The sequence below is a fragment of the Homo sapiens genome, chromosome 17 (assembly GCF_000001405.40).
Source record: "Homo sapiens chromosome 17, GRCh38.p14 Primary Assembly".
NCBI classification, from domain to species: Eukaryota; Metazoa; Chordata; class Mammalia; order Primates; family Hominidae; genus Homo; species Homo sapiens.
Window position 1 is genome coordinate 41,344,900 of NC_000017.11, and position 9,615 is coordinate 41,354,514.

General features: G+C 44.8%; 1 protein-coding gene and 1 long non-coding RNA gene across 3 annotated transcripts, besides 2 other annotated features; one reads left to right on the plus strand and one right to left on the minus strand.

Annotated features, from left to right (window-relative positions):
* Nucleotides 1,193–5,929, minus strand: KRT33A (keratin 33A). Of its 2 annotated transcripts, NM_004138.4 has the most exons (7): nucleotides 5,521–5,929; nucleotides 4,447–4,529; nucleotides 3,584–3,740; nucleotides 2,162–2,323; nucleotides 1,945–2,070; nucleotides 1,549–1,769; nucleotides 1,193–1,337 (listed from the first exon to the last, which is right to left on the minus strand). In NM_004138.4, exons 1-7 carry the CDS (start codon nucleotides 5,866–5,868, stop codon nucleotides 1,220–1,222), a joined length of 1,215 nt encoding a protein of 404 aa, NP_004129.2. In that variant the 5' UTR covers nucleotides 5,869–5,929; the 3' UTR covers nucleotides 1,193–1,219. The 2 variants fall into 2 exon arrangements, with proteins under 2 accessions (NP_004129.2, XP_011523088.1); XM_011524786.4 differs by lacking the exons at nucleotides 3,584–3,740; nucleotides 4,447–4,529; nucleotides 5,521–5,929 and adding an exon at nucleotides 2,740–3,105.
* Nucleotides 1,561–2,061: an enhancer, noted in NCBI's record as "H3K4me1 hESC enhancer chr17:39502712-39503212 (GRCh37/hg19 assembly coordinates)". NCBI's record gives its function as "activates a minimal SCP1, AML or CMV promoter by ChIP-STARR-seq in naive H9 embryonic stem cells {active_cell/tissue: H9 hESC(naive)}" and the evidence as "EXISTENCE:reporter gene assay evidence [ECO:0000049][PMID:30033119]".
* Nucleotides 2,062–2,562: an enhancer, noted in NCBI's record as "H3K4me1 hESC enhancer chr17:39503213-39503713 (GRCh37/hg19 assembly coordinates)". NCBI's record gives its function as "activates a minimal SCP1, AML or CMV promoter by ChIP-STARR-seq in naive H9 embryonic stem cells {active_cell/tissue: H9 hESC(naive)}" and the evidence as "EXISTENCE:reporter gene assay evidence [ECO:0000049][PMID:30033119]".
* On the plus strand, nucleotides 6,598–8,899 carry LOC105371778 (uncharacterized). The gene is made up of 2 exons (XR_001753056.1): nucleotides 6,598–6,704; nucleotides 7,523–8,899. It is a non-coding gene; the product is annotated as an uncharacterized LOC105371778 (long non-coding RNA).

Here is a 9,615-nt window from a genome sequence, read left to right on the forward strand (position 1 = left end):
AATGATGGTCCCAACTGCATATAAATAAAAACAGGTGGGGCCAAAGCTCAAGGCTCACTAGGACAAAAGAGACTTTTCCGCCAAATAACCCACTCACAGTTCTCCATCATCTGACGCAGACCCCAGGCAACTGAGCAGAGAACTCCAGCATAGAGTTCCAGGCCCACATCATAGAACTACAGAAAGTCACAAGGAGTCCTTGAGTGCCGAGGCAGGAACAAAGAGAGGAAGGTGAACCAAAGGCACCTCCCCACCATCCAGCCTAGCAGATCCCACACTCCTCCTGGCCACTATATCCCTCTACCCTTTGCTGCTCCTTCCTACTTTCTACCTAAACATTTCAGCACAGCATGGTTGTGTGTGTGCATGTGTGTGTGGTGTACATATGCTTATATGGTATGTGGTTATGTATATGTGTATATGAGATTATATACCATATGTTAAGGTGATAGATTTATATTACCTCAGTACAGGTTTTTTTTTTACTCAAAAGGTTTTCGGATCCCTCCACTTAATGTTTCAGAATAAATAGTTCCTGTGTCTCTAAAGACACCTTCATATGAATTTGCCATTCTGTTTCCCACCACCTTCTTCCCAAACACTAAATCCGGGTTAATAGTCTTTCATGGAGGCTTTTCCATTGAAGGAAATCATAGGCCATATATGGGGTGAATAACCTCTTCATCTGATGGAAAAACTCTGGTTATTTTTTTAATTTATACAAGACAGCCAATTTTGGAATTAATGAGTGAAACAGACAATTATAACTTTTGAATAACAGTTTATTAGGAGGTTAACAAAGGATTTCTATTGCATCTCCAAAGACCAAGAGTGACAAGGAAGATTTGCTCCAATTATGTTCTGTTTCATAGCATGCCCATCAGCTCTATCACATTTAATGGAATTTTCTCTAAATTGTATTATTTAAGTTTTATTCAAGTATAACATGTTATGCAAATGTGTCTTTATGGTGATAGATATTGCTTGATCTTGATCCTGCTGTAGGTCTCTCTATGTGACTCAGAAGACAGATTTTGCAGCCTTATGCTGAAGAATCAAGCCAGGGAATACAGTGGAAGGCTAGAGCTGACCCCTGGAAGCCAGGGTTGATAGAAAGGTTTCTGCCTCTTTCCAAAGTGTGGTCACTGTTGGAGATGTTGGGATGAAGTAGAGTTGAGGTGTGACTGATGCCTTTCTTCTCCTCCTGGTTGTGGGGCCTCTAGTACCCAAATGTGTTGCAAGGCCCACACCGAGCACGTAGGCCACAGGGATTAGAGATACAGGGCCCAGTGGACTTGTCACATGCATTGGTTGTGGCGCAGGGGTTGGAGGGGAGCCTGTGGGCAGAAAATCATTGGAGCAAGTTAGAGTAAAATGAGCTGAAGAGATTGGAAAATACTAAAAGGGCTTTGTGTAAGAATATTGTTCCTCCTTGGACTTCCTCCAAACAAAAGCTTGAAATTATAAATTCATTTCCATCAAGAAGACTATTCATCTCCACAGCAACCTAACATGCCCCAAGGAGAAGATTACTACCCCCATACTGACTTGCAGTCCTCGCTCTCCAGCAGGCTCCGGTACGTGTTGATCTCACACTCCAGCCGCGCCCGCACGTCCAGCAGCACCTGATACTCCTGGTTCTGCCGCTCCAGGTCACTGCGGATCTCCGCCAGCTGGGACTCCACGTTGGTGATCAGTCTCTGCACCTGGGACAGCTGGGAGCTGTAGCGGGCCTCGCTCTCTGTCAGCGTGTTTTCCAGAGAGTCTCGCTGTGGTGGGGAAGATTGAGAGTGTCAGAGAGCTGCTCCTTATAAGGTTCCTCCATGGGGTTCCAAAGAACTCACAAGCTCCAAGAGCTAAGGAGAGTGTGTGGCCCCAAGGGCATCCCCAAGACTCTGCCTCCCAAGTTCCCATCGCTCACCAGCAGGTCTGAACAATACACACCAGGTTGTGCTGGGCCTGCAGCTCGATCTCCAGGGCATTGACCGTGCGTCTCAGCTCGATGATCTCCGCCTGGTAGGACTGCAGCTGCTCCGAGCTGGATACCACCTGCTTGTTCAGCTCCTCGGTCTGAAACACCCAAGGGGAGAAAGGATCAGACCCTGCCTCCGGGGCCCTGGGGGGCCTCGGGTCCTGAGTGGCCACGTGCTTAGATGCCCACCTGCGTGGCGAACCATTGCTCCACTTCCCTGCGGTTGGTTTCCACCAGGGCCTCATACTGACTCCTGGTCTCATTCAGGACCTGGTTCAGGTCCACAGTGGGAGCAGCGTCCACCTCCACGTTGAGGCGGTCTCCAAGCTGGCAGCGCAGGGTGTTAACCTCCTGATGGAGAAAGGGCAAAATTTTAAATTTCACAAAGGATCTTGGTGCTCTCCTTAAGAGAATGCAATTCAACTTCTGATCATTCTTAAGCTTTCAAGAAACTTTGTTCCCTCTGATCCTGTCACTAACCAGGATCTATATTCAATGACTAATTTGTATACTCCACTTTTTACAAACTACTTTCAAGCCCATGACTTCCCTCTGCTCTTTGTATTAAATGTATCACTCCTCATTTAGAGAGATTCAGTGATTTGGGCTCAAAGCTGATACATGGTGGGCCATTATTTAAACTCTGGTCCCCAAATGCCCAGTTCAGTGTTTTTGCTAGTATACCATATAGCCTCACATGTTTGACTCTTAAGCATGGATAATAAAAAGAACAGAGTCTAGCTAAAGAGGAAATACAGAATGCTTACTTCAAAATCTGCCATCCTGGCATAGAAGAGACTTAAAGGGTGATTTGTTGATTCCACCAGCATAGATTTTGCTGAAGGCAATAAGTATCTGTTTACTTCCCTGCTAAGCATAGCTTGGTACTTGGGCTTAGGCGGATTTCAGACAAATTTGTATTCAACCTCATCTCTACCACTTAATACATTGCTTCTAGAAGCTTCTTGAAGCCTCGATTTCTTCATCTTAACATGAGAACTGCCTCCGGAGTTAAAGCACTTAGCACAATGTTTGGCACATACTAAGCACTTGATTAATATTAACTGTCACCATTTACATTGTTCTTGGATTTCAGGTTGCATAAAATACACGTCTTCTTTTTTGCCCAACTGACTTAGCCATAATGGTGAGCATTTTGCTCAAGGCTGTTTCCAAGCAACACTGAACAGCAAGCAGAAAGAGCTCTGGACAGGAACGAAGAGAATTGCATTTTGTTCTAGCTCAGCCCTCTCTGCCTGATGGGCCTAGGCCATCCTGGCTTCTCCAGCTACAAATGGAGAATTGGAATAGAAGATTGCTGCTGCATGCACTCTAACCTGGGCACAGGAGAGGCTGTGGCTTCTGCCTCATTACCCAGCTTTCCTCACTACTGGGCTTGCCAACTTCCTCACTCTCATTCCTGCCTCTGGCAGAAAAATCCTAATCTCATATCACAGGTTTTTAGATTAGTCATTCTCTACATATCCCTTTTTGTATGCAGAATTACTTCCTCAGCTAATTGAGCCTCTACTGACAGCCTGTCCTGGACCCTGTGGCAGTTGTGAAACAGGTCCTGGCTAGTCTGAGCCCATCACTCTTCAGGGAACTCACCTGCTCATGGTTCTGCTTGAGGCACAGCAGCTCCTCCTTCAGGGACTCCACCTGGGCCTCCAGGTCAGACCTGCACAGGGTCAGCTCATCCAGGATCCTGCGCAGGCCATTGATGTCCGACTCCACCAGCTGCCGCAGGGACAGCTCGGTCTCATATCTGTGATCACAGGAGGGTCAGGAACAGGCTGGGCAGGAATAGGCCTGGCCTTGACTCTGCTTTGGTTTGGTTAGTCAGGCAACTAGGAATTAGGGTTTGTAGTTTTTATAGCCATCTCTTTTGTTTAGGTTTTCAGCATCGAGCTGGAAGAAAATGCACTGGTAATTTTACGTTTAAAGATCCAGTGGATAGACTTCTATATTCCTAGCTATTCAGGAGGCTAAGGGGAGAGGGTTGCTTGAGCCCAGGAGTCTGAGGATCTGAAGTTACACTGAGCTATGATTGCACCACTGCCCTCCAGCCTGGGTGACAGAGCAAGGCCCTGTCTCTAAAAAAAAGAAGAAAGCCAGTGGATTTAGGATAAAAGCTGACAAACTGTAAGACTTCCAAAATAATATGCTTCCACATTCTCCATTCTCATGAATGGGTTCTGTGCATAGGAGAACATCGGGGGCCAACACGTCTACACTAACTCACAGTACGACTAGGGGTGTCACGTCACAGAGGAGAAGAAGGAGGAAAGGAAGTCTAAGGCCTGGGGAAAGGATCTCTGAGCTACGGTGTGTGGTGGCTCTGTGAATCTTGGAGAAAGCAGCTAGAACATAGCTCAGTCACTGTTTGTTTAACTTGTGTTGACAACAGGCTAAAGGAAAGGAGGGCTGCCAGAGAAGAGAAATAAACAGCAACACCCCGCTTGCCCACTCACTTGGTCCTGAAGTCATCTGAGGCCAGCTTGGCATTGTCGATCTGCACCACAAGCCTGGCATTCTCAGACTTGCTGCACAGGATCTAGAAGGCCCAAAACATTCAAGAATGAGCAAGGACTTGGTAATTTTTCACCAATGGCAGTCCTTCCTAATTCACTTCCTTGGAAGGATCAGGATGTCTATCTTATTAAATGCTTTCTATATACAGCAGGTACTCAATGAATATTTCCAAAATTATATTCAAAAAAAGAACACCAAAATATGCAAAAAGTATAAGTAGATAATCTTTTTTCTATCCTAATGAGCAATACTGAGAAGCTGATCATAATAGTTGACATTTATGAAAAACACCTACTATGTTTCTGGCATGATACTAGGAGCTGAGGATACAAAAATTGGTAAGCACTTGATCCTGCCCTCAAGAAACTTTCAATCAAGCAGAAAAGACAAATAGGTAAACTAGCAATTGCAGGGGACTGGATCAGGGAAGAAGCCACATGTTCCCAGATGTCCCAGACAACTGGGACTACTTTGTCCTAGGTAATTTCCAATCTTCCCAATTTGGGCCAAACATTTTAGGCTCTCACTGGACACTGTGCACCAGGAGAAGCCCAGAGGCATGAAGGTGAGGACAATGAAATCAGGATAAGTAGGAACCTAGAAGAGAGAGGCAGCCAGCAGTCCAAGGGGCAAAAAGCTCAGATGAGGGAGAAAGAAAATGGCCCAGTCTTTACAAAAGATTCCGTTTCCCCAGCTTCCTTTGGACTCAGTCCTTTTCTCTCACCTCAGGGTAATAATTCTGGAGCTTGGCAGGTGCATGGAAGCATTCAGAGGTAGTTTTTAATTACAGCTCATTTATGCAAAGTGCTGCTACCTCCACATAGACTAACACTATGCAAATATTTAGACCTAACAGTCCCAAGTCTAGTATTAGATGGGCCCTCAAAAAACAAAATGGAAAGGCCAGTTTTCAGCTTTTCATTCACATCAAGAGCTTACGTTGTTTCTCAATCACAACTCGGATTCTCTCCCGACAACTTCCTACTGGAGGCACTGTGTCGCCCACTCCTCACCTTCTGCTGGAGCTCCTCAATGGTCTTGAAGTAGGACTGGTAGCTGGCACACACCAAGGGCTCCTGCTGCTGTGACCGCTCCCGGATGAGGTTCTCCAGCTCCGCGTTGTCCCGCTCCAGCTGACGCACCTTCTCCAGGTAGCTGGCCAGGCGGTCGTTCAGGAACTGCATGGTCTCCTTCTCACTGCCATTGAAGGAGCCCTCACAGAACCAGTTGCAGTTGCTCACATTGGCGGGGATGTTGCAGGCCCCGGGCAGGGTGCAGCCGTGGCAGCTGGGGGGCACACAGGGCCGGGAGGAGCAGCTGGTGCGGCAGCTCAGGCTGGGCAGGCCACAACTGTAAGACATGGTGCAGGGAGGGAGTGTCCAGCTGAAGACAGAGTCCAAAATCTCCAGGTTGTAGAGCGGTGGGTCTCCTTCCTCCAGGGAGCATTTATACCTCGTCCATGGAGGGTGTGGACACGTAAGACAACCCCTTTTTTTTTTTTTTTTTTTTGCTCATTTGGTGATTGTCAAAAGCCCTTCCCTCCATTTGTTGTGTTTCTTCAGAAGAGTCTCTCCCCTCATAAAATACTTTACTTGGGCTTCTCGCTAAGTCGGGACTCCTCTTCCATGCTGTGTGTCATGATGTAAGAGCTTCATGGTGTGACTTCAAAGACCTGGACTCATGAAAGCCCTGGCCTTCTTCAGTGGGGTGCAGCAGGTCAAGAGACAGTATTGCTGTTCTGCTTTGTGGCTTGAGGCCCCTAACTCTTTGGCAAGCTCTGGCTCTCCTTGGTGAAATGGAAAAGCATAGCTCTTGCCCTGTGTCTTTTGCTAGGTCACATTTCCAAGTGCCAAATTCCAAATTCATGGTTCTCAGAAAGAGGAATAGATCCTTTCTGGGACAGTTCCTGATGGCCATGTTTCCTGATATGATGGGCTTTTTTCATGTCCATGATGACGTCAATCAACCAAATAATAGATATCCACTATGACAATTTCATCCAGGGCGATGTAATAGACACTGGGAGGGGTGGAAAATAGGACTCAATGCTATGGTCAGAAGAAGTTCTTACTTGTTAAGAAACTGCACAAGCCCAAGGTAGTGTGGACACTTTTCACAAACTAGATCCTTTTTACAAACATGATCCTCAAACATGCAGAACTTAGATGTCCATTATTCCTCACCAGAACTCTTAAAGGTAAACTGTATAATTCCCATTTTATAGATGAGAACACCAAGGCATAGAGGGTGAGGATAATAAGTTGTGGACCTAGGATTCCAAAGCAGATCACTTTTCTTTTCATCACAACACTTGGCTTAAATATAAATGGCTTACTTCCTTCCCTTCTTCAGACAGGCCGTCCCTTTCTCCTCTCCAAGCTCTCTTTTTACCTTGAGCATGACACTGTCATGACTTATGTGCTTGTCTCTCTGTCTCTATTTGAGGTCCCTGAAGGCAAGGGCAGGGTCTAGTTTGTCTTTGAATCCCCAGCTCTAGGCACCTGGTAGGCACTGTTGAATGGGTGTGGGTAGAGTGATGAAGGGATGAACAGGAAATAATAATCTGAGGCAGAAGTTGACAAGTGATAACTGAGTGGTTTACACACTGGGGAGGGCGAGCAGCTCCAGGATTGGAGGCTCTTAGGAATGGATGAATGGATTTGTGCTGGGATAGGGAGGCTTCTAAGAAGCAGAGGGGAGAAAAGTAGGAAGTGCAGGTGAGGAGAATAATGTGCACACAGGAATGGGGTGGGAAAGCCCAAGGCATGGTTGAAGGACCAGGGTAAGTCTAGGCAGCAGGAAGGGGAGAGTTGTGAAGGGAAGTGCTAGAAATTAAAGCTTTATGGGGGATTGTATGGGGACCCTATGGTAGGGGGTCTCGATGGTGAAGTGGAGCAGCTTGGACTTCCCCAGAAGCTGTAGAGCCAGTATAAGCTTTTGAACCTAAGTGTGGTGTGACAAAAGGTGTTTTAGGAAATGTTTTAGCAAATATTTATCTGTTTTTGAAAAATGAAGGAAAGATTGGAGGCAAAGAGTTCAGCAAAGAGACTATTGCAACAGTCCATGCAAGACTAGAATTTATGGCAGGGATGATGATACAGATAAGGTTTAGTACAAGTGAGAGAGTTAGAGAACTGGGCCAAGGGAGAGTACAAAGAGAAGAGCAACAAGGAGCTGAGGACCAAACTTTGGAGAATTTCCCAATCAGAGATCAGGAGAAGGAAAAAGAATCTGTGATAAATGGAGAAATGGTGAGAAAAAAATGATAAAAACAAGTTCATGGCATCCCAGAAGGGCAGGAAGGAGGGTGCTTCCAAGAGGAGGTGATGTTAGAAGTGCCAAGTGCAGCAAAGGGGCCGCACATGATCAGGACCATGGAGAGGGTATTGGCTGCCTTGACCAGAAATTTACCAGGACCTTTCCAGGGTCACACAGGTATGCCTGCTGTACGCAGCGCCTGTGCACATTCTTAAAGTAATGCCCACAGTGAACTTCGGTAAACCAAGACTTCAAACACACAGAATTGAGATGTTCATTACTTAGAGAAGTTCTGCTGCAATAAATTTATATATCTGATTATTAAGCTTGGAGCTTTGATCTTACCAATACAGACTTTTATACAATAATTGGAGTGGGCTTTACGCAGATGCCAGACTTGTTTGAACTTGATGATTCGTAATAGTTTATTATTTAGGAACAATTATCCAAGAAGCATGAGTAATCTGAACTGACCGTGCATATGACACCACTTCTGTTTTGTCACAAGATGTAAGATGAGCCTTATTTGATATCCTAAAGAGGCAATGAGGAAAAAATTCAAGTATGGGCCTGAGGAGGCATACATTGGCCAGAAAGAGGAGGGGCTTCCTATGTCCTTGCTAGCAGAGGATAAAGCAGACAACAGATTCCAAGCCTCCCAGCTACAGCTACCAATCCAAGCAGCTTCCAAGCCTCCCAGCTACAGCTACAGACCAAAAACCAGATGGCTTTGCATTTGGCTCTTCTCTTCCTCCCTCTTACCTCCTAACATAGATCCTAAATATGAAAATGGTTAAAAGAGAGAGGGAAAATCTTGGAACAAGATATTGGGGATCCTAATGGTCAACTCATCCAAACCGTTCGTTTTACGAAGGGGAAACTGAGGCTCAGAATGGAGAAATGCCTTGCTTAGTATCATCTAGCTAGGACCCAGATCTTCTGATTCCCACTGCATTATCAGCCCAATCACCATTCTACTGAAATGTTGAAGAATTTCACAAACAATCTGATCTGTTATTACCTAAGGACAGAAATCAAGGGCAGTGAGAAAAACATCTTGTTAACCATAGATATGCTGTGTTGAAGAAGAATTATGAGTCAATGTGTAAATAAAGATAGAATTCAGCAATAGTACAGTTTCTTGTTAACTCTCTGATTTCAATTATTTCTAAGTTGATGATACAATTATATACCAACAATTTGGAGTAATTTAAACATAATTATATCCCATCAGATATAGATTATATCCCATCTGTTTGGAGCAACTTAGAACAATTGGTCAAACAATGGTGACCCTACTCGACAGCAATATGCTTATCCAGAGTAAGGTACACAAAAGATAGTCACAACAAAATTAAACTATTATTAAAATGGGGACAATTGAGAGATTAAAGAAAACACACCACAATGACACTGGATGCTATTAAATGACAGGATTATGAATGTTTTTTTTCTTCTCTCCAAATTCTTTGAAAATATATGTTACTTCTGCACAATAAACAAAATAAAATTTACATTTAAAATTTCAGAAGGAAATTCTTGCAAATCTTCTAGAGGAACAATGAGTTATTAAAAAAAAAAAGCCTAGGAGGCTCCTGTTCCAATATAATTACTACATTACACTTGAGCCTGTTCTAGAAATAAAGTCTTTGTTGTGATCGGCATTCATGCCCTTGTGATATCTGCTGACTTTGTCCATTCCAAAGGTGAGCTACTAAGAAGGAATGAAGGGAAATCAAGCTACCTATAGCTCATGAATTGACTGGCATGAGGTCTGAGCTTCGGGTGAAGGAGAAGACAAGGAGGAGTAACCCTTGGAGAAACATTCTGCCATTGACTGCTAGCCCATG